This window comes from Homo sapiens, chromosome 11 (genome assembly GCF_000001405.40).
Source record: "Homo sapiens chromosome 11, GRCh38.p14 Primary Assembly".
NCBI lineage: Eukaryota > Metazoa > Chordata > Mammalia > Primates > Hominidae > Homo > Homo sapiens.
This window is the reverse complement of record NC_000011.10, coordinates 70371666-70395007: the sequence shown is the minus strand read 5'-3', so window position 1 is coordinate 70395007 and position 23342 is coordinate 70371666. Positions and strand designations below refer to the sequence as shown.

Genomic DNA, 23342 nt, shown 5'->3' with positions numbered 1-23342 from the left:
TAATCCCAGCTACTTGGGAGGCTGAGGCAGGATAATCGCTCAAACCCGGGAGGTGAAGGTTGCAGTGAGCTGAGATCGCGCCATTGCACTCCAGCCTGGGAGACACAGCGGGACTCTATCAAAAAAACAAAACAAAACAAAACAAAAGTGATATCTCTGTGAGCCAGAAATGAAGAGAAATGCAAAGTGCTGAGTGGGCCTGCAACTGCAAAGCTGCTGGGCCTGGGTCACCCACGCTTGTAAAAGAAGCACGCAGCCAGGGGCGCACCAGTGGTCCCAGCTACTTGGGGAGGCCGAGGTGGGAGGAATCACTTGAGCCCAGGAGTGCAAGACCAGCTGGAGCAACATGGTGTGAACCTGTCTCAAAAAAATAAAAATAAAGAAAAATTTTAAAAACCCATGCAGCCAAAGAGGGATGTCCAGACAGCCTTATGTCCAGGACCTGAGCAAACCAGTCCCTGACTTAGAGTGCAGATGGGACCTGGGGCATTTGCACCACCACGCAGGGCTGTAGGACTCAATACAACACGTGTGACGGAGATGTAGCTGTCCACCCAGCGCCCCCACCCTCCTCGGTACTAAGTGGACATGTGGGTGTCCAGCTCTACTACATTTCCCAGCTTCCCTTGGAGTTGGGAGCTGCCATGTGGCCAGGTTCTCGCCCATGGAACATGAGGGGAGGTGACATGCATGGCTTCTGAGCCTGGACCATCATTCCTCCCCGGGGCTGCCTCCTACCGTGGACCAGCTTCCTAGGCTGCTGCAACACATTATGACAGACTCAGTGCCTCAAAACAATGCAAATATATGCTCTTCAGCTCTGGAAGCCAGAGTCTGAAATCAGTTTCATGGGCTAAAGTCAAGGTGTCAGTGGGGCTTGTTCCTTTTGGAGACTCTAGGGGAGGAACCATCTGTGGCCTTTCTAGCTTCTTGCATCCCTCAGACCCATGCATTCATCTTCACACCTGTTTTCTCTCTGTACGGATATGTCTCTTTGCCTCCCTATTACAAGAACATTTGGGATCCCATTTCAGACCCACCCAGAATATCCTCCCATCTCAAGATCCTTAATGTCATGACATCTGCTAACTCCTTTTTGCCATGTAAAGCAACATCACATGTTCTGACTATTAGGATGCAGACATATTTGGAGGCCATTATTCAGCCTACTACAGGTGACAGGTACAACCTTGGAAGCCCTGTTTTGAGGATGGCAGAGCCCACCAGCCTGCATCCCTCCAAGACTGCGTGGAACAGATCTTCCTTACTATCCCTTTCTCCTCCTCTGCCTGACCTGGACATACACCCTGCCCTGTTACGTGAAAGCAAAAGAAAATCCTGTTGTGTTTAAGATATTGCGTTTGGAGTCCATTTGTTCCAGATGTTTAGCCCACCCTAATACAGAGAGGTTGAGGCAACTGCAGAACAGGGAGACAGACAGCGTCACACACAGTGAGGAAGAGAGAAAATGAAACATTTCCTAATTAAAATGAACCTAGAATGTAAGTTCCAAAGGGATTGTAAAAATGAATACTAAATAAGAAAGCCAAAGGCCAGGCACAGTGACTCATGCCTATAATCCAGCACCTTGGGAGGCCGAGGCAGGTGGATTGCTTGAGCTCAGGAGTTCAAGACCAGCCTGGGCAACATAGTGAAGACCCTGTGTCTACAAAACTTTAAAAAAATTAGCTGGGTGTGGTGGCCTGTGCCTACAGTCCCAGCTACTTGGAAGACTGAGGCAAGAGGATCAGCTGAGCCCAGGAGGTCAAGGCTGCCAATGAACCATGATTTCGCCACTGCACTCCAGCATGAATGATAGAGGGAGACCCTGTCTCAAAATATAAAATAAATAAGAAAGCCAATACTGTGAACAATGGGAACATGAATTATTAAAGTTGAATTTTATATTGTAGAACATGAGTATGATTTTAAAATTATGTTTAGAACCAGGCCATGTGGCTCATGCCTGTAGTCCCTGCTACTCAGAAGGCTGAGGTGGGAGGATCCCTTAGGCCCAGGTGTTAGGAGTTCACGGGTACAGTGAGCTATAATCATGCCAGTGCACTCCAGCTTGGGTGACAGAGTGACTCTGATTTAAAAAAAATGGGAATGGGACTGGGCGCTGTGGCTCACGCCTGTAATCCCAGCACTTTGGGAGGACGAGGTGGGAGGATAACCTGAGGTTAGGAGTTCAAGACCAGCCTGGGCAACATGGTGAAACCCCGTATCTACTAAAAATACAAAAATTAGCTGGGTGTGGTGGCGGGCACCTGTAATCCCAGCTACTTGGGAGGCTGAGGCAGGAGAATTACTTGAACCCGGGAGGTGGAGGTTGCAGTGAGCCGAGATCACCATTGCACTCCAGCCTGGGTGACAATAGTGAAACTCCATCTACAAAAAAAAAAAGGAAAAAAGTCACCGAGATTGCCAACCCACTGAATCAAAAGAAGCAATAAATCTTGGTTGTTTTTTACTGTTACATTTTGGGGTGGGTCTTTAAACAGCAACGGATAAGAAAATATAGCAGATGATCGTGGGGTGGGAGCAGGGGACAGCATAGAACATATTAGACAGAAAACCTAAGGGTATATTTCATATACATATTGACAAAAAAATGCCAAACTCTGGAAAGTATTAAAAGAGATTTATTCTGAGCTAAATGCAAGGGCCATGACCCATGAGGCAGCCTCAGGAGGTCCTGAGAACATGGGCCCAAGGTGGTTGGGTTACAGCTTTGGTTTATATATTTTAAGGAGACATAAGACATCAATCAGTGCATGTGAGGTATACATTGGTTCCATCTGGAAAGGCGCGACAACTCAAAGCGGGGGCTTACAGGGCATAGGTGGACTCAGATTTTCTTTTCTTTTTTTTTTTTTTTTGAGACAGAATCTCACTCTGTTGCCCACGCTGGAGTGCAGTGGCATGATCTCGACTCACTGCAACCTCCACCTCCCAGGTTCAAGCAATTCTCTGCCTCAGCCTCCTGAGCAGATGGGATTACAGGCCTGTGCCACCATGCCCGGATAAGTTTTGTATTTTTAGTAGAGACGGGGTTTCACCCTGTTGGTCAGGTTGGTCTCAAACTCCTGACCTCGTGATCCACCTGCCTCAGCCTCCCAAAGTGCTGGGATTACAGGTGTGAGCCACTGTGCCTGGCCAGTTTTTCAGGTTTCTTTGGCATCCTCTTGGCCAAGGGGGAAGGGTCTATTCAGTTGGTTGGGGGTGCTTAAGAGTCACTTTTGGTTTACATACCGTATCAATGGCTGTGTAATTGTCAGGGGCGTGTGAACCAGAGCAACTCCATCTTGAATAGGAGCTGGGTAAAATGAGGCTGAAACCTACTGGGATGCATTCCCAGATGACTGAGGCATTCTAAGTCACAGGATGATGTAGGCGGTCAGCACAAAATACAGGTCATAAACACCTTGCTGATAAAACAGCTTGCGGTAAAGAAGCCGGCCATAGCCAGGCGTGGTGGCTCATGCCTGTAATCCCAGCACTTTGGGAGGTGGGTGGATCATGAGGTCAGGAGTTCAAGACCAGCCTGGCCAACATGGTGAAACCCCGTCTCTACTAAAAATACAAAAAAATTAGCTGGGCGTGGTGGCGGGCACCTGTAAACCCAGCTACTCAGGAGGCTGAGTCAGAGAATTGCTTGAACCCGGCAGGCGGAGGTTGCAGTGAGCCGAGATCGCACCACTGCACTCCTGCCTGGGTGACAGAGTGAAACTCCATCTCAAAAAAAAAAAAAAAAAAAAAAAAAAAAAGCAGCAGCAGGCGGCCAAAACCCACCAAAACCAAGATGGCGGCGAGAGTGACCTCTGGTCGTCCTCACTGCTACACTCCCATCAACGCCATGACAGTTTACAAATGCCATGGCAACGTCAGGAAGTTACTCTATGTGGTCTAGAAAGGGGAGGCATGAATAATCGGCCACCCCTTGTTTAGCATGTCATCAAGAAATAACCATAAAAATGGGCAACTAGCAGCCCTTGGGGCTGCTCTATTCTAAAGGTTTGCTCTATTCTTTTGTTCCTTTGCTCCCCTAATAAACTTGCTTTCACCTTACTCTGTGGACTTGTCCTGAATTCTTTCTTGTGCAAGATCCAAGAACCCCCTCTTGGGGCCTGGATCTGGACCTCTTTCCTGTAACATAATAAACCACCCCAAACATAATAAACCATAAAAGGTGGTGGTGTTTACTGGTGAAACCTTTCATCATGCTCATAATTTTGTGAGTCAGATGGGGGATGTGGGAGCGGCTTACCTTCATTTCAATGGTCTCCACTGGAGTGGCTCATCTGGTCAGCCATGGCTGCGATGAAGACCGGGGTTCTATGTCTGGGCCTCGCTTCTGAATGTTGGGTACGTCAGAATGGCTTCTCCTCCAGCACGGCTGTGAGAACTGGCATGTCCAAGTTGGCTTCATCACGTGTATGGCTGGCACTTCGAATAGGATGGCGGGAGCAGCTGGGGACAGACACTAGACAGCTCTCTCCAGTCTTTTCATGTGGCTAGCTTGGGCCTCCTTACAGTGGGGTGGTCTTGGAGTAATAGGACTTATTACTTGCTAGTCACCCAGACTCGAGTGCAGTGGCGCGATCTTGGCCCACTGCGACCTCCGCCTCCCAGGTTCATGCCATTCTCCTGCCTCAGCCTCCCGAGTAGCTGGGACTACAGGCGCCCGCCAGTATGCCCGGCTAATTTTTTTGTATTTTTAGTAGAGACGGGGTTTCACCATGTTAGCCAGGATGGTCTCGATCTCCTGACCTTGTGATCGGCCCGGCTCGGCCTCCCAAAGTGCTGGGATTACAGGCGTGAGCCAGCTCACCCGGCCACTTGGTGGCTTGTTTCTTTCAGAACGAGAATTCCACAAAACCCAGGAAATCGTCTTGTGACCTAGCTCCAGGTCTCAAAGTTATGTCTGCTGCATTCTTTTGGTCAAGCAAGTCACTAAGGCCAGCCCAGGTTTAAGGGAGGGGAGTTAGACTCTTACCTTTCACTGTGAGGAGTAGCAGAGAATTTGCAGCCTGTCTTAAATGTTTTGTCACATACTGTATGTGTTTCATCAAGTCTAACATGTTGTGGGAGCCAAGGCCCTTGGCCCCCTAAAGGTTTGCTGAAAAATCACTGGCATGAGGCAGATTGGCTAATCGGAGAAAAGGCACACACATGTATTTACCATGTATACACAGGAGCCTTCAGAATAGAGACCCAGCCCCCCAGGAGGTACAGGAGCTTATCCAGGCTTGTCCAACCTGCCTTATTTTGTTGTTCTGTTCTAGGCTTTTGGCAGCCCAACGCCATGGTTTTGAGTTTCTGTCTCTAGTGATAAGTAGAAAAGAGGGATAAGGAAGGGGCTTTACTGGGCCAACCAGAAAGAGACTAGGAACCCATGACTGTATTCTCTCCTTGGGCACCACTGTCAGGTCTTGAGGCCACAGAATGAATGAGGGCTTGGATCCTGGCAAATGAGGTTCTGGGAAGACGGGAGGAAGAGGTCTGGCTAGCAAACGGGGTCTTGTTACATAGATGAAACCTCACAAGTAGAAGTCGTCAGGGATGATAAACGGCTCTTTTCAGACTTTTCAAGGTGTTATATAAGGCCTGGGTGCAGTAATGGAGATTCTCTACAGATGCAAATTGCCCTGACAATAGACAGCTTTGCAGGGCCACTTCATCTGTTGGCCCTATAACAGCCATTACAAATAATGTCAAAAATACAATTTGGAGTAAATGTTTCTGTTGTTGTCGAGACACAGTCCGGCTCTGTTGCCCAGGCTGGAGTGCAGCAGCCTGATCACAGCTCACTGCAACCTCCACCTCCTGGGCTCAAGCGATCTTTCCACCTCAGCCTCCTGAGTAGCTGGGGCTACAGGCACACACCACCACACCCAGCTAATTTTTGTGTTGTTTGTAGAGACGGGGTTTTGCCATGTTGCCCAGGCTGGTCTCGAACTGATGAGCTCAAGCAATCCACCCACCTCAGCCTCCCAGAGTGCTTCAGTATCATTGCTTATAAGACACATCCTAATTTAAGATACCAAAACATGAAAAAATGTTCACAGCAGAATTGATGAAATGTAGTGTGTGCATGCTGGGTTGTGATATAAAATATTTCAGCTGTGGGCTGCAGTTAGAGTTTGAAACTGGGCAAAATTACCGTAATGAAGTGAAGGGGTAAGCAGCAGTATTCTCAGACATCCAAAGACGAAGACAGTTTATCACATAGAGGGTCTGCCTGAGACAACTATTAAAAATTGTTTTTTGGACTATTTTTTTGAGACAGGGTCTTGCTGTGTTGCCCAGGCTGGAGTCCAGTGGCATAATCGTAACTCACTACAGCCTCGACCTCCCAAGCTCAAGTGGTCCCCCACCTCACCCTCCAGAATAGCTGGAACTACAGGCGTGTGCCACCACACCCCGCTAATCTTTAAATTTACTGCAGAGGCAGAGCCTGTTGCCCAGGCTGGTCTTGAGCTCCTGGCCTCAAGAAATCCTACAGCCTTGGCCTCAAAGTGTTGGGATTACAGGTGTGAGCCACTGCACCCAGCAAACATTTTATTATGGAAAATCTCACACAAATGTGAAGGTGGATTAATGTAACCATCATGAATGCACCATCCACCTTCAACAGTCACCAATCCACATGGTCAGTGTTGTTCAATCCATAAGCCCTCCCTCCCCTAAGATGATGATGATGATGATGATATTTTTTTTTTGAGACCGAGTCTTGCTCTGTCACCCAGGCTAGAGTGCAGTGGTGCAATCTCGACTCACTGCAACCTCCATCTCCCGGGTTCAAGCAATTCTGCCTCAGCCTCCTGAGTAGCTGCGATTGCAAGCGCCCGCCATCACGCCCAGCTAATTTTTGTATTTTTAGTAGAGACGGGGTTTCACCATGTTGGTCAGGCTGGTCTCGAACCCCTGACCCGGTGATCCACCCGCCTCGGCCTCCCAAAGTGCTGGGATTACAGGCGTGAGCCACCGCGCCCGGCCCCCTAAGATTATTTTAAAGCAAACCCCAGACATCGTGTTATTTCATCTGTGAATACTGGGGAATATAGTCTTACCATGTGCCCCCCTGTGTTATAATCAAAGTATCCCACTTGCCTCACCAATAAATAATATAGTCATAATAATGAAAACAGAGAACATGGATTTGATCCCAACAACTTGACTTAACCTCAGCTGGGAGACTGGGAGAGGGGAAGGGAGGTGCCAGGTGCTCAAATTCTCATCAGCCACAAGACATGGCCCAAAATGGAGGAAGCAGGACGCCACGCTGAGCGCATATCATTTGGGAGTAAGAAAGCAAATAGAAGGAATAGCCAAATCCATTCCCCATGGTCTAGGGAGCAGGGAGAAAGAGAGGAAGGGCAAGGGCAAGGGCTGCTGGTTTTATTCTTTTTTTATTTTTATTTATTTTTGAGACGGAGTTTCGCTCTTGTTGCCCAGACTGGAGTGCAATGGTGTGATTTCAGCTCACTGCAACCTCTGCGTCTTGGGTTCAAGCGATTCTCCTGCCTCAGCCTCCCTAGTCGCTGGGATTACAGGTGCCCACCACCACGCCCAGCTAATTTTTTTTGTATTTTTCGTAGAGATGAGGTTTCACTACATTGGCCAGGCTGGTCTTGACCTCCTGACCTCAGGCAGTCCACTCGCCTCACCCTCCCAAAGTGCTGGGATTATAGGCGTAAGCCACTGCACCCGGCTTGTTTTTACTTTAAATGATGTGCATGTATGACTTTGATTATAACAAAAAACTTAAAAATGAAAATAGGGTGTTGGAGAATTGGTGATTCAACTCCCTCAAGACTTACAGTTTCTGTAATACCCCCATTCCTAAATTATATTGCTTTTGTTTAATGAGCACATTTTGGTCTATTTGAAGATGAGAACCGTGTAGTGTTAAGGCAGAGTCGTGCTTTGTCGACCGCCCTTCATCAGGAGTGAAAAATTGTGCTCTGTTGGCTTCTTTTGAGGTCGATTGGCAAGACCTATTTAAAGTATTCACGACCAGTGGCTGGGCGTGGTGGCTCATGCTTGTAATCCCAGCATTCTGGGAGGCCGAGGCGGGCGGATCACGAGGTCGGGAGATCGAGACCGTCCTGGCTAACATGGTGAAACCCCGTCTCTACTAAAAAATACAAAAAATTAGCTGGGCATGGTGGCGGGCGTCTGTAGTCCCAGCTACTCAGGAGGCTGAGGCAGGAGAATGGCGTGAACCCGGGAGGCGAGCTTGCAGTGAGCCGAAATCGCGCCGCTGCACTCCAGCCTTGGTGACAGAGTGAGACGTCTCAAAAAAAAAAAAAAAAAAAAATTCACAACCGGGCGCCGTGGCTCACGCCTGTAATCCCAGCACTTTGGGAGGCAGAGGTGGGTGGATCACCTGAGGTCAGGAGTTCGAGACCAGCCTGGCCAAAATGGCGAAACGCCGTCTCCACTAAAAATAACAAAAAATTAACCAGGTGTGGTGGCGTGCACCTGTAATCCTAGTGACTTGGGAGGCTGAGGCAGAAGAATCACTTGAACCCAAGAGGCAGAGGTTGCAGTGAGCCAAGATTGTGTCATTGCACTCCAGTCTGGGCAACAAGAGTGAAACTCCATCTCAAAAAAAAAAACCACCTCACAAGAGCTGGTGCATGACAGGTCACATGAAGAAAGGTGGCATATTACCTAATACAGGTCCATTTGCATTGGTGTTCTCTGAAACCCTGTCTGGAGTTTTATTCATAGGAGACAGTAAATATGTAGCGTGAACATGAAATGGTTCTCAGCATTTGATGTTGTGTGATGCAGGCCTCCCCAGAGGACTTCTCCCTCCCTCCATGCCAATGTCATGGCGCAACTTGTACTCCTGGGCTGTCTCTTGGATGTACAGGCTTAGAAACGTTTCTTTTTCCTGGAAGGGTGAAATAATGTTCTTACCACGGTCTCTCCAGCACCAAAAAGAGCCTGGTACAGAGTAGATAGATACTCAATGAATGAGTGCTGAATCGCTCTGAATGGAGAGGGGATGCCCACAACTGCATCTTTTGCCAGGTGATGCTTCGCACACTCAAGTTTGAAGATTAACGGTCCTAGACGTCAAACCTATTTGCATGCCAAGTGTCGTTTTATTTTAAAATGTCTTCACTTTTTTTTTTTTTGGTAGAGAAGGGGGTCTTACTACGTTGCCCAGGCTGGTCTTGAACTCCTGGCCTCAAGTGATCTTCCCAGCTTGGCCTCCCAAAGTGCTGGGATTACAGGCATGAGCCACTGCCCCCAGTCCCTTTTTTTTTTTTTTTTTTTTTTTTTTTGAGATGGAGTCTTGCTCTGTTGCCAGGCTGGAGTGCAGTGGTGCGATCTTGGCTCACTGCAACCTCTACCTCCTGGGTCCAAGCGTTTCTCCTGCCTTAGCCTCCCGAGTAGCTGGGACTACAGGCCAGCTAATTTTTGTATTTTTAGTAGCGACTGGGTTTCACCATGTTGGGAAGGATGGTCTCGATCTCTTGACCTCGTGATCCGCCCACCTCGGCCCCCCAAAGTGCTGGATTACAGACGTGAGCCACCACACCCTGCCCAGTCTCTTTTTTTCTGGAAGTTTTAAGATACTCGACGCATGCCTTTGGCTTTGTTCAGCCAAAAGGGACTATTAAATGGAAAAAAGCAGGGAGGCACTACATTATGTTTTAAAGCTCACACTGAAGTTAACCTCAAGAACTAGAAAGTACAGAAAACAAGGCTTTCCCTACATTAAGCAGGAAGATCAGCAAACACAGGTTCGAAACAGGAAAGCACTGAACACCCGATGGCTGCCTGAGAGAAACGTCCCAGGACACACTGACCCACGTGACAGCACGTGCCACTCAGACGAGGTGTCAGCAACGGAGACAGAATGAGGAAACGGAGACCAAGGTGACGTCGGCAGTGGCCGCTGATGCCTGCTCCAGGTGGGGTGGTGGTGGCCATGGGCTCTGCGAATCCCAGGCTCAATGGCAACACTGAGGTGGGAGGAGGGGAAGGGACACTTGCTGGTGTCTGGCTTTCCTCTTGGGCATCAGCTTCCAGCCCTTCAGCCTCAGCTCACCAACTTCCATGGGTGGGCCCTGCTTGACTCCCCCAGCCTGTCAGCGTGTCGCCTCCCCTCTGCCACCCTGGGCTGCTTCACAACTCAGGACCGGATGTGAGCTATTAGGGAACCAGGCTTCCTGATTTCCAGAGGCCATCAGTGTGGAAGGGTGCAGGCCTGGGAGCCACCTTTGTGAGCAGGCAGGGAGAGCAGGTGGGAGTGTGAAGCCAGCACCGAGGAAGGAAGCAGAGCTGGGAAACGGTGTTAAGGGACATGCGTGCATGCGCGCGGTCCACGGCCTAGGCTCTGCCTTTGGGCCCTACCCACCGACTGTGTATGTGAGCCCCCACATTTGCATTTAACAATTTAACACCAGGCACCTGTCTCCTGCAGTGATGCAGGCTCGGGACCTCCAGAGCAGCGGGCAGGATGACGCCCTGAACCTGCACTTCATCTCCTGGCTGCTTTATTCTGTCAATTGACTTCTGTAATACAATTTCCATATGGTGACACTGCCTTCCAAAACAGTTAGAGCTTATTCTCAGTATTCTTCATTGGCAGTGGAAAATGCTTCAGTACTTTATTGAAAGAAAGCAATAAATAATACTGTGATAAAAATAGTTCAAAAGTAGACTGTACATACTTTGTTACATAATCAGGAAGTTGACAAAAGATTAATAGAAAAACAGAACAGTAACAATGAATTGTACAAGTAAATTAAAAGCAGAAACCAACTGAAAAGACAGGCTGCCTCTGTCTCTGGATCTGCTGCACAATAAATACCACGCCATGGTCTGACACACTTTGCTGGCTTGTTAATATGCCATTTAAAAAGTAAAAGCCACATCTGCAACTTACACAATCCAAAATGGCTAGAGCATCAAAGTCTAAAAATGTCCCACTAGGTTCGTTCTTTAAACATGTTTACAAACAAATGTAAAAAGATGATTTACATAAGAAAAATAAGGCCTTTATTAGAGCTGCACTGCACTGCTTTCTGGGTCTCCTGCCTTCATCCACTGTGTGCGCCGACTTGCAGGATGAGAGCGTGGTGCTTGGTGCTGGCCCTAAGGGGAGCCACATGGGTGTCTCTCCACCCGCTCCCAAGGAGCAGAGGCAGGGAAGAGGGTGCAGGGGCTAGACTGGTCCCCAGGTTACCCCATCCCGAGTCTCTCCAGCTGAGAGAACTGCTCCCAGCTCACAGTCTCAGCCACTGAAGACAAGCTCCCCAAATCCAGAGACTAGGCTAGGAAAGCGTTAACCAGTGCTAGGGGCTTCTCATAGTGTTGTGATAGTGTTTTCAGTCCACATCTTATTAGGAGCTGATATTTAACACCAGCCATTTTAAATCTGTTCATGCTGCAGAATAAAGCATCTCTTGCTAGAAAAAGTACAGTTAAGGTCAGTCATGAAAATACAACAATTGCTTGAAATTAGGTATGCTTATTTCAGGATGATTGCTGTAGAGCTAGGCTGCGTCCGTAAAGGATAATGCACATGGCTTCTGTCATAATTTTATAAACGTAAAATCCTTTGTCATGGTTTATCATTAAAAAATTAATGATAATTACAATAAATGCATAATTTACAAAAGCCCTCTATTCATAGGATTTATACATACAAGCATTACAGTACATTCATTTGAAAGACTAAAATTAGGTATAAGAACATGATTTGAAAGGATATTTATAGCCTGGATATACATGAAAAAGTAAGTAACTATATAAATGAAGAGTCATAAGTTTACATAAATATAAGAAACATTAAATTCTAAAATATTTTCTCTATGGTATTCATGAATTTTTCACTAATTAAAAACTCTGTAATAAAATATCTTAGGGTCCATATAACAAGTATTAACAAGATTAAAGATTCCACTGGATTCCAAAATGTAGTCTTTGTTGGATTCAAATGCTGCATAATCATCTGTAGAAGTAGTGTGGGTAAACTGGAAAATAAACACAAACAAAAAACCACTCAGTACAGGCCGGGCCATACTGACGAACGGGAACTTCTGATGCTGGGGCCCAAACGTCCCCCCGACACTGACCCCTCCCCTCCAGGACCCCTCACTTTCTGTGCCGTAGCTGCTCTGAGAATCACTGGCTAGAACATCAAGGGCTATGCACATCAATGAGACAGCTCCTTGGCTGACTTCATTTTGGCTTACGTCTCCATGTTACCAATTACAAATAAAAGATGAACAAACCAGTCAAATATTCCAACGGAGACCTTAAAATTGCTTAGAACAGCAAGGAGAGGGCGGGCCACTCACCAGCCAGAGTCCGCAGTTTTAAGAACCAGTCTCTCCAAACTGAAAGGCTATTAGTGTCACACTTAGTATAATATATAATTAACCACAAAACTTTGGGCTTGTTTCATTCAAGAATGTGTATTTAAAACAAAGCAAGCTTAGGAATCACAGCAATGTGCATAACGACGTCAGGAGGAGAGACTCTCCCCTGACGCTCTCTGCCATGCTCTGCTCTCCTCCCCACTCCACCCCCATGACATCCACAGACAATTAAAATGAGTCAGCATTTTCAGGTTTAAGGAAAAGGTGAAAATACATTTTTTTCCTTAAAAAAAGAGGACACACTAACCTCTTTATGATCAATTGTAACAACAAAATGATCTTAATGGGTACGGAGAGCTTGTGTCTATATATATTTTAAATTCCCCAAAAACTGCACTGGCTTTCATGGTCCACACCCCTAGTCTGGCACTGCAGCTCCGATGACTCCTGCTGTGCCTCTGAGCCATCTCTAGGGGTTGTGGTGCTCTCTACTCACCAACAGGAGACTTTAGCAGGAGTAAGTCCTGACTGTAGCAGAATCCAACCTCTGTGTTCCTGATACATTGCCTGTTTCAACAGCCACGAGAGGAAGCGTGCAAACACAGCGTGCAGTTAGTCTTAGAACATCACATGAGGGCACAAGTAGACACACATCTTCACACCTACAGCAGTGCCTACGGAGGGACCTGAGGGGAGCTGCCTGAGTGGGCGGGATGGAGCCAGAGAGATCCAAGTGTCACCCAGTGGTGGCTCTCCCCAGCTCCCAAAGAGCCCCGGGAGACTCTGGAACACTACTCCGAAATACCAAGCACCAAATGGTACAGTAACAATTTCAAAATGTACATCTGCATAAATGACCCCTACTTAGAGTGATCCCTTTATCTCTTACTAAACTCTGCATTCATAGACCAATGGGGCTTTCTCCCTGCCCTAAGTGCTCCATCTCTAACACTGGTATGAAGGAAACACCAAGCGGCACTGCTGATGCTGCCCAGCCCCACTGAGCGCAGAGGCCAACGACGTCGGGTACAAGACCAGTCTAAGAGGAGGGAGAGAACCTTGCTACCCAGCACTAGCTGGGTGTCTGGGAAGCCGGTGCCCTTTTCTCCTGGGGAGGAGCAGAGCAGGTGCAGAGATCTGGCTGCAGGGGTGGGGCGTTGGCCAGGGAGTGGGGTGAAAGCTGATCTAAAAACTGAAGCCCAGTCTCAGTTCCTACCAGAAATATTAATCATAGAGACCACAGATTTTGGTTCTTGTTCAAGAAACACAGTGTGGCCATAAGTAAGCCCGATTTCCATTAACAACTGGGATTTTAAGTTTTTGCAAATCGGAAGCAGGTACTGGCTGCTCCCGGTTATGTTTTTTGTTTTCCCACAGGTATACCAGGAACACTTAATCAACATCCTGCATGGTTCCAGCAAAGACATTAAGACAGTTGGGACTGTTGGTGAGGACAGATGATCTTCACAAACCCTCTGACTCTTAAGAACCTGGGAGACCTGCTGGAGTTTACCCCACATTCCCTTAATTAAAAAGCCATTAAAATAGTCAACTTTGCTGGGCACGGTGGCTCGCGTCTGTAATTCCAGCAATTTGGGAGGTCAAGGCAGGAGGATTGCTTGAGCCCAAGAGTTAAGACCAGCCTGGGCAACATGGTGAGAGCCCATCTCTACAAAAAATTCAAAAAATTAGCAAGGCATGGGACCACACCTGTGGTCCCAGCTACTTGGGAGGCTGAGGTTGCAGTAAGCCGAGACTGAGCCACTGCACTCCAACCTGGGCAACAGAGTGAGACCCTGTCTCAATAATAATAATAATCCCTTTAGCAGGCTTGTGCCTGAGTTATTTAATGTAAGGGTAAAAAGTCTTCTTTATAATAAATTCCCTATACCTTTTAGGTTTACTTTTTTTTTTTTTTTGAGACAGAGTTTTGCTCTTGTCGCCCAGGCTGGAGTACAGTGGCATGATTTCGGCTCACTGCAACCTCTGCCTCCCAGGTTCAAGCCATTCTCCTGCCTCAGCCTCCTAAGTAGCTGGGATTATTGGCATGTGTCACCATGCCTGGCAAATTTTTTCTTTTGAGACAGTCCTGCTCTGTCGCCCAGGCTGGAGTGCAGTGGTGTGATCTTGGCTCACCACAAGCTCCGCCTCCTGGGTTCATGCCATTCTCCTGCCCCAGCCTCCCGAGTAGCTGGTACTACAGGCGCCTGCCACCGTGCCCAGCTAATTTTTTTTTTTTTTTTGTATTTTTAGTAGAGATGGAGTTTCACCGTGTTAGCCAGGATGGTCTTGATCTCCTGACCTCGTGATCCTCCCGCCTTGGCCTCCCAAAGTGCTGGGATTACAGGCGTGAGCCACCGAGCCCGGCCGATTTTTTTGTATTTTTACTAGAGACAGGGTTTCACCACGTTGGCCAGGCTGGTCTCACCACGTTGGCCAGGCTGGTCTCGAACTCCTGACCTCAGCTGATCCACCCACCTCAGCCTCCCAAAGTGCTGGGATTACAGGCGTGAGCCACCGCGCCCGGCCTAGGTTTACTTTTCATCCATCCAAACTCTCATTCTTAATATTCCTGTTAACATTTAACAAGGGAGATGTGATTTATCAGAAGGAAAACTGAAATTGAAGCCACAAGTAAAACAAGAAAGCACTCGTGGACTCCAGGTGACAGAGCTTGAGCTGAAGGCCAAGTCACAGTTCTGCTTTCTAAGAATTATATGCATGACTCTTGGAAGAAAAATGCTAATTTGTAAAAAGTTCCTAGTTAAAAGATATACTGGGTTTTCCCCCTTGAGTATATTATCAAATTCTGGCAAACAATAAATAAATAATACAGCTTTTTACTAAAAATGCCACAAAGTAAGCTATTCTCACCCAAAGCGTCCAGCTTAACTAAGGTTTTATTTAAATGTACTTTTCTTTTTATTTTTATACAGGTGATAGAGAACAAAATTTATGAACCTACGTACGGGAGGGACTGATGACAAAAAAAATTGGCAAAAACCCCATTCGCACAGTTTTCAATTATTATTTTTTTTTTTTTAGAGATGGGGTCTCACTGTGTTGCCCAGGCTAGTCTCAAACTTCAGCTCAAGTGATTCTCCTGCCTCTCAGCCTATCAAAGTGCTAGGATTACTGGTATAAGCCACCATGCTTGGCCCCTAATTAGCACTTAAAAAAAAATTTTTTTTTTTTTTGAGACAGAGTCTCAGTCTGTCATCAAGGCTAGAGTGCAGCGGCACAATCTCGGCTCACTGCACCCTCTGCCTCCCAGGTCCAAATGATTCTTGTGCCTTAGCCTCCCAAGTAGCTGGGATTACAAGCATGTGCCACCACACCTGGCTAATTTTTGTATTTTTTTTTTGTAGAGACGGGGTTTCGCCATGTTGGTCAGGCTGGTCTCAAACTCCTGGCCTCAAGGATTAGCACAGTTTTTAATGCCACTTCCTTTCCTCCAGTCTGCTCACTGGCCTCAGAAGTGAGCATGAGTGACCTGTGTGTAGCACAGGGGCTGCCAAACAGCCCCGACTGACACGGGCTCAGAACTTCACCAGCTTAATGAATGAGGCATTCAATCATCGCAACTACTCTATGAGGAAGACACTACCATGACGACCATTTTACAGATGGGGAGACCGAGGCCAGGGTAGTTAAATGACTTGTTCAGGGTCATGCACCTCCTAGTGGCAGAGCTGGAGTCAAACCTAGGCAGCCTGGCTCTTCAACCTGTGCACTGCCTTTCATTAGATGAGTACAAGGGCAGAGTTGAGAGACCTGTAAGGAAGCCATGGTCAACTGTTAACCTCAAATCAAAGTGGCCGTCTAAGGGAAAATCCCAAACTGCATGTGAAATCATGGCAGTGATGCTCTCTCTCTGGCTGGTATAGTCAATAGCTGCCTCGCTCCACTGGGGACTTCTTGGAGGTTCACCTTCCTCCCTTCCCTGCCCTCTAATGGGTAGACATGTGACTGCACGGAACAGCAGCAGCAGGGAGGGCAGAAAGCATAGGCAGAGCTCACACAAGCTGGAAACTGTGTGTTCTTAAAAATGTACTCAGTTATTTTCTCTGGTGTGGAGAGCAGTAAATTATGTGGTTTGGAAGCTACTACTACACTACTATTTCCTGAAAGAGCTTTCTAGCACGGCCTGTCACAGACACAAATTTACAAGTATGCCTCAGTCTCTCTCTGAGAACACAGACGAATACTGAGCTTTATTAGTTGGAAAAATATGCTAAGATTCAACCAGACAAGCGTGTTTTAAAAATTCTATTATTATGGTTAAACTTTTATAAACAAATGTTAGAGTTAATTTAAAAACATTTATATTTGGACATGCAACCATACTCAAGTGCCTTGTAACATATTAAATAGGCCGTTTTAGATCATTATTAATGTTCCAGACAGAAAGCTGCTCATGCTCCCAACAAGTGACAGGTTAGTGTGACCCATCACATACCGTCCATCTGCATCTTCTTTGGCTGCATAGAGGGGGAAGACATAGAAGAAGTCACCCGGAAGTTTGCAGGGAGAGTCTCTGCTGACCCAGCAGCTAAGCCACGAATGTCCTTTGGTCTAAACTTTTTTCTCCATGAAGGTGCTCTCCTAAAGCTTTTATCATCATCCTGGTAAATTAAGGAACAAAAAACAAGATTCATTTAAAAAATAAAGGTCAGAGATGTAAAGTTACATGTCCTTTAAAATGACTGCTGATCTCGAGAATGTATTCTTGTCCACATGTATTTAATCCCTTCTTGATGACCACACAATATATTGCCCAACCTGGAACTTCAGCGTGAAACGGGGCATGGTGATGGTCCGGCTGGGCCTCAGCTGGCGAAATGAGGTCGGTGCTGGGCCATGAGGATGTGCTCCTTCTCCACAGCATCATGTTCTACTTCTTACACCTTGCAGGAATCACTTTCTTGCAACGTAATACGTTTTTATTTATCTTAAAAATAGTTTATTTTTCATTTTTATTTATGTTTTTACAGACAGAGTCTAGATCTGTTGCCCGAGCTGGAATGCAGTGGTGTGATTATAGCTCACTGTAACCTCAAACTCCTGGGCTCAAGCCATCCTCCCACCGCAGCCTCCTAAGTAGCTGGAACTACAGGTGTGCCCCTACCACACGCAGCTCTACAAACAATTTTTAACTAGAAACAATTTTATCTTATGCCAGGATATAGCAACAAGTGCTTCATCTTTAGAGGTGGTCTTCTATTCTCTCTGTCAAACTCAACTTTTCTTAAGGTCCAATTAAGAGACTCCTAATCGTGTGGAACAAATGAGTCATGGTTTTAAGGGGAAATTAACATTTTGTGTTTTTAATATACTTCTGAAACATGCCACCCCACCCATGCACAGGAGTATGGGGGTACACTCTGGACTGGGGTAGGATAACTACTGGTCCCCAAAACCCAACTTACAGACTCTGTTCCTAAGCTGCAACCAATGTTTTATGATGTGAAAACCATTTTTGAGGGATGTCAAAAATTAAATAGCAAAAATAAAAACAAAACTACCTTCTTGAAGGTATTACTTTTGTGGGTTTTTTTTTTGCGGGGAGGGGGTTTCTTTTTGAGATGGAGTTTCTCTCTGTCGCCCAGGCTGGAGGGCAGTGGTGCGATCTCAGCTCACTGCAACCTCCACCTCCCAGGTTTAAGCGATTCTCCAGCCTCAGCCTCCCAAGTAGCTGCGATTATAGGCACCTACCACAACGCCCGGCTAATTTTTGTGTTTTTTAGTAGAGATGGGGTTTCACCATGTTGGCCGGGCTGGTCTTAAACTCCTGACCTCTGGTGATCCGCCCGCCTCAGCCTCCGAAAGTGCTGGGATTACAGGTGCGAGCCGCCGTGCCCGGCCCAGGTATTAGTTTTTAAAGGCTCATTTGTGAATAAATGTATAAGAGCAAAGCCTGACTTCTAACATCCAGAGAGACTGCCTAGCTACATGATGTCCCAAGTATAATAATAATAACAGCTTACATTTCACACACATTTAAACATTTACACACATTTCAGACATTTAAAGAACATTAGGCCAAAAACTTACTTCATCAAACCTTCTATCAGTCCCCATGACCAAAAGGTTGTTAAATTCTCTTTCCAAGACAGCACGAGCCTGAAATAACCAAAGAAAAACAAATAAAACTTTCATCAAATCTAATTTGAAGGGTGTTAGCATCGTAATTGTTTTTTAAACCAAGACTTAAACTCCCTCACTGCTGGCTGGGTCTGGTGGCTCACGCCTGTAATTCCAACACTTTCGGACGCCAAGGCGGACAGACCACCTGAGGTCAGGAGTTCAAGACCAGCCTGGGCAACATGGTAAAACCCCGTCTCTACTAAAAATACAAAAATTAGGGCCTGGGTGTGGTGGCTCATGCCTGTAATCCCAGTACTTTGGGAGGCCGAGACAGGCAGATCACTTGAGATCAGGAGTTTGAGACCAGCTTGGCCAACATGGTGAAATCCCATCTATACTAAAAATACAAAAATAAGCCGGGCACGGTGGCGTGTGCCGGTAATCTCAGCTACTTGGGAGGATGAGGCAGGAAAATCACTTGAACCTGGGAGACAGAGGGTGCAGTGAGCCAAGATTGCACCATTGCACTCCAGCCTGGGCAACAAGAGCGAAACTCCATCTCAAAACAAACAAAAAAACAACTCCCTCACTGCTATGACTACATTGAACCATAATAATATTTTAAATCAGGGCATCTAATGTGGAGTCAATGGATGGGCTTTTGCAGAAAGGGATCCATGATCCTTGGAGTCATATTAACAAGGGTGTGTTGTGTGGGTTGGTCAGGGGTATTGGCCAAAGATATTCAATTTTTTTTTTTTTTTTTCCTTTTTCTTTGGGATGGGGGTCTCACTCTGTCACTCAGGCTGGAGTGCAGTGGCGCAATCAGAGCTCATCACAACCTCCACTTCCCGGGCCAAGCAATCTCCCTGCCTTGGCCTCCCAAGTAGCTGGGACTACAGGCATGTGCCACCACACCTGGCTAATTTTTTTGTATTTTTTTGTAGAGACAGAGCTTCACCATGATGGCCAGGCTGGTCTCGAACTCCTGGACTCAAGCAATCTGCCTACCTGGGCCTCCCAAAGTGTTGGGATTGTGGGCATGAGCCACCTTGCCTGGCATATTCAATGTTCTGTAGAGGAATAAAAGTTCCCTGTTTTTCAAATGAGCCCATGAGTCAAAAAGAATGGCATAAGGCAATTACCCATAAAAACAAAATTAATAAAATCTTCATGTGGCACACCTAAAAACACTTCTCTTTCCATGTAAGAACTAAATATATGTCACTCTTCTGATCAGGCACATGGGCTGGAATGAAAGATCGTCCTTATCTGGTTTATTGCAGGACTCTCATGCTTCCAACAGAAAAGGGAAAGCCAATAGACCAAAAAAAAAAAAAAAAACCAAAAACTAGTTGTCTGAAGTTTTTTTTTTTTTTTTTTTTTAAAGTTTCTTTCTATTCGAATAACTAGCTGTCTATAATCAGGGTGCCAACTGAACAATGAGTGCAGACACAGACAGGTTTGGCGTCACCTGTGTGTTCTGCGTCGGGATCTGTAACAGCAGTGCCAGTGCACTGAAGTCGAAGGTTTCATCTAAGGCCAGAAGTGCTCCGTGAACACCACTCTCTATAAGATTGTTTGCATATTCTTTAAGGCCAATTGACAGGATCCAGCGAATCACTCGATCATTGCTCCAAACAAGCACGTCTGCAAAAGAATAAAGACAATTATAAAAGTGGCTTCAGAAAGCCATCTTTATCACATGTACCCTGTAATGCAGGAGAAAGATTCCTACCATGGTTCCTAATCCTTCGGCTCCTGAGAAAAGTGCTGGGAGACACTGCTAAATAGACAACCATTTGCTGCACTGAGACAATGGTGTCCTGGCCCTGCTCCACTCTCAGGGAGACTCTCCCATTAGAACTCATCCTTCCAGTGAGCACGAGAGGAATGAAGTTATTATTTCTAGAGAAAAGAAGATGATGAGGATCCAGGGATCAGAAGCCAGAGGACTGCAAGAACTTGAATACCTAACATGTATAAACATGCTTCACACACAGACTGGAGAGTCTTCTGAAATACTTCATCACGGATGGAGCTGGCTCCATAATAATATGAACACTTTGCTCAATTCAACAGAAACCTCTCATTTCTAATCTCGAAGTCTTTGTCTCATTTTAAAATGAGAGAAACTTAACAATATCATCCAGCACATTAGAGACTTTGCAGAAAATCTTTTTTTTTCCTCTCTTTTTCTTGACAATGTCCTGCTCTGTCACCCAGGCTGGATACAGCCTGGTACCATCATAGCTCACTGCAGCCTCAACCTCCTGGGCTCAAGTGATTTTTCCCACCTCAGCCTCCTGAGGAGCTGGAACTACAGGCGTGTGTCACGAAGCTCAGCTAATTTTTTTGTACTGACAGGGTCTCACTATGTTCCCCAGGCTGGTCTTGAACTCATGGGCTCAGACAATACTCCTGCCTTGGCCTCCCAAAGTGCTGAGATTACAGGCATGAGCTACCATGCCCAGCCACAATATCTTATGCAAATTAACAAATTATTCAATTTGCTCTATTAGATCTAAAAATAGCCACTCTAAAAATATATGCAGATGATCACCAATCACTTCCAAAGACACTTCCAAAGATCTTTGTCTATTGGAAAAAGATGTAAAATAGATACAGAAAACAAAACAGATGGACATATTTCATTGCCAATGCCCTTTTCTGGATAAAAGTCCATACATATACACACACTGTATAAATGTCGACTTACGACTTTTCTCCTGATTCACATTAACTCAATCACAAGTAGACTTCCCTTCAACTGGGCCATCTCCCAACCATATTTTTATCCTTAGTTTCTTTCTTAGTATAAAGTGGGGATGAAAACAGCACTTAGACTGACAGGGCTAAGGTAAAGATGAAAGAAAGCAACCCCTGAGTACTTAGAACACCACCTGGCACCTACTCACTGTTAGTAAGACTGGCCTCTTCTTATCATTATTGTTATTGGTGACTTCCTTGCATTCCAGGAATTCTGGGAGTCATTACTCTGAGCTTAATGTTTACTGTCTAATTTTAAAAGCAAATTCTGACTGGGTGTGGTGGCTCACACCTGTAATCCCAACACTTTGGAAGGCCAAGGTGGGAGGATCCCCTGAGCCCAAAAGTTCGAGATCAGCCTAGGCAACATAGCGAGACCCTGTCTCTACAAAAAAAAAAAAAATTCCAGGCATGGTGGAGCACACCTGTACTCCCAGGAGCTACTAGGGAGGCTAAGGCAGGAAGAGCACTTGAGCCCAGGAGTTCAAGGCTGTAGTGAGCTGTGATCACACCACTGCACTCCAGCCTAGCCTGGGCTACAGAGCAAGACCCTGTCTCAAAATAAATTAAATAAATAAATAAACAAACAAACAAATAAATTTGAGTACGAGTGAGGGACTCCCCAACGGAGAAGAGAACCAACTCCACGTCTTCTGGATGAATGTCTCACATCCTCTAACGCCTCCCTGGCCTGTGTTTTCCAACTGAAATGCCTTTTCCTTACCCTAAGCAGCTCCTCCTCCTTCTTCAAGGACCAGCTGAAATGCAGACGCTGCCTCTCCTTCCCCTCCGGGAGCAGAACTGCACGGTGCTCTCCTGTTCTCCTGAACCCCTTGGATAAGCCCCCAGTCATATTTCTCACACTTGAATCATCAAGTGAGCTTTGCTCTGTTGTTATCTAACAGTGTGGAACAGCATTTCGGAGTGAAGGAGTACACAGGGCATGACCAAAGGAAAACTCTCAACTCACAGGAAACGACTAGCCGGAGACATTTAACCTCCAGACTGATGTGTGAGAACACAGGGAACAGTTCTCTAGCTGTGGAAGAGAATCTCAAAAGCACTCAACTTCATCCAGCCCTCCTCTGCAATGACACTAGACTAGTTAGTTTTCTCCACTTAAATTTAGCCTTTCTTGATTTTTTGAAAAATAGGAAGTCACTGAGGCTCCAAACACACCAGCAAGTAGGAGTAAACCGAATCAATTAAATGTCATGTACTAACCTTTTATTTCACTCTGACTTTCTTCTCTTTTTCTTTCCAGTTCTTTCCGGTCATAATTTAACCTTCTCAGGCACATAATTCCACACTGGAAACTGTTTCTATTTGGAAGAAAAGAGAGATGATTTAGAGATGGTAACAGTGAAAAATCTTAGCCAATTATTAAGAACTATCTCCATTAAGTTACCTGTGAAAACTGTCGACCATTTTCAGCTGCCCTCGAAGGTCTTTCTTGGTCAAGTGGTCCAGCATCCTGGCGTCTACAAGGCACTCCATGAAGTAGCTGCGGTACTGGGGGAGGCCCAGGCTGGGGAGCCACTCGTTGCCGATCCACTCGTGGTTCATGTCCCCATAGGCGAGTGTCTGCTTTTCATAAATGGAAAAGGTCAGTTACAGAGGAAGTCTCAAAAGTAGTTTATATCATTTTTAAAATGAATTTTTAATCTATTACCTATATTCTCAAAGGCTAAACTAATGATAATTTTATAATTGCAAAATAATTTGATCTCTTCTCACCTTTTAAATTTGTTAGTAAAATTTTTATACAACAGGAATAGTAACATGAAAAATATATGATTCGTTGTGATAAATTTAACTTTTAAATCAAACTACAAAAAAACTGTAACTGGCTATAAATTTCCTCTCTGAGATAGTTTTTAGTATAATAATGTGACAAAGATTGATCACGACTCATGAACAAGTTTGAAGGCTCAATTCAACACTGCTCACTAAAATTATCTCTGGTTGGTTTACATTTTAACACTTTGTTTTCCTAAAGAAAAAATCCATTTCAAAATCAGTAAAAGTCAGTTAAAATATAGTTTTAGAGAAGAGATAAAGCAACAACCAACAGGACTAAATGGGGAAACAGGCAAATTCACAATTATAGTTGAAAAAATTCAACACTTCTTT

The 23342-nt window shown here is 45.8% G+C and overlaps 1 protein-coding gene and 1 long non-coding RNA gene across 35 annotated transcripts in view, besides 4 other annotated features; one reads left to right on the top strand and one right to left on the bottom strand.

The window, feature by feature from the left end:
* The window catches only part of CTTN-DT (CTTN divergent transcript), a 35819-nt gene that overhangs the window by 3455 nt on the left and 9022 nt on the right, over nt 1–23342 (top strand). The window contains exon 2 of one of the 2 annotated variants that reach the window (NR_186321.1): nt 22474–22815. This is a non-coding gene — a long non-coding RNA (CTTN divergent transcript). Of the gene's footprint in view, nt 1–8805; nt 10678–22473; nt 22816–23342 lie in introns of those variants that run through there. The other variant, NR_186322.1, reaches the window with a different exon arrangement.
* Nucleotides 2965–3734: an enhancer, noted in NCBI's record as "H3K27ac-H3K4me1 hESC enhancer chr11:70237380-70238149 (GRCh37/hg19 assembly coordinates)". NCBI's record gives its function as "activates a minimal SCP1, AML or CMV promoter by ChIP-STARR-seq in naive H9 embryonic stem cells {active_cell/tissue: H9 hESC(naive)}" and the evidence as "EXISTENCE:reporter gene assay evidence [ECO:0000049][PMID:30033119]".
* Nucleotides 4506–5275: an enhancer, noted in NCBI's record as "H3K27ac-H3K4me1 hESC enhancer chr11:70235839-70236608 (GRCh37/hg19 assembly coordinates)". NCBI's record gives its function as "activates a minimal SCP1, AML or CMV promoter by ChIP-STARR-seq in naive H9 embryonic stem cells {active_cell/tissue: H9 hESC(naive)}" and the evidence as "EXISTENCE:reporter gene assay evidence [ECO:0000049][PMID:30033119]".
* Nucleotides 5276–6047: an enhancer, noted in NCBI's record as "NANOG-H3K27ac hESC enhancer chr11:70235067-70235838 (GRCh37/hg19 assembly coordinates)". NCBI's record gives its function as "activates a minimal SCP1, AML or CMV promoter by ChIP-STARR-seq in naive H9 embryonic stem cells {active_cell/tissue: H9 hESC(naive)}" and the evidence as "EXISTENCE:reporter gene assay evidence [ECO:0000049][PMID:30033119]".
* Nucleotides 10142–10648: an enhancer, noted in NCBI's record as "H3K4me1 hESC enhancer chr11:70230466-70230972 (GRCh37/hg19 assembly coordinates)". NCBI's record gives its function as "activates a minimal SCP1, AML or CMV promoter by ChIP-STARR-seq in primed H9 embryonic stem cells {active_cell/tissue: H9 hESC(primed)}" and the evidence as "EXISTENCE:reporter gene assay evidence [ECO:0000049][PMID:30033119]".
* The window catches only part of PPFIA1 (PPFI scaffold protein A1), a 113707-nt gene continuing 100976 nt past the window's right edge, over nt 10612–23342 (bottom strand). For 23 of the 33 annotated variants that reach the window (NR_045286.3, XM_006718716.4, XM_011545307.4 and 20 more), the window contains 7 exons: nt 22618–22793; nt 22434–22531; nt 19915–20090; nt 18408–18476; nt 16813–16978; nt 12850–12920; nt 10612–12005 (listed from right to left, as the gene is read on the bottom strand). Coding sequence is in view for 32 of the 33 variants with exons in the window: in XM_006718716.4 (XP_006718779.1) it covers nt 12862–12920; nt 16813–16978; nt 18408–18476; nt 19915–20090; nt 22434–22531; nt 22618–22793 (744 nt within the window). In the remaining variant the exon portion in view is untranslated. Of the gene's footprint in view, nt 12006–12849; nt 12921–16536; nt 16979–18407; nt 18477–19914; nt 20091–22433; nt 22532–22617; nt 22797–23342 lie in introns of those variants that run through there. The other 10 variants (XM_011545311.4, XM_047427770.1, XM_047427767.1 and 7 more) reach the window with 4 other exon arrangements.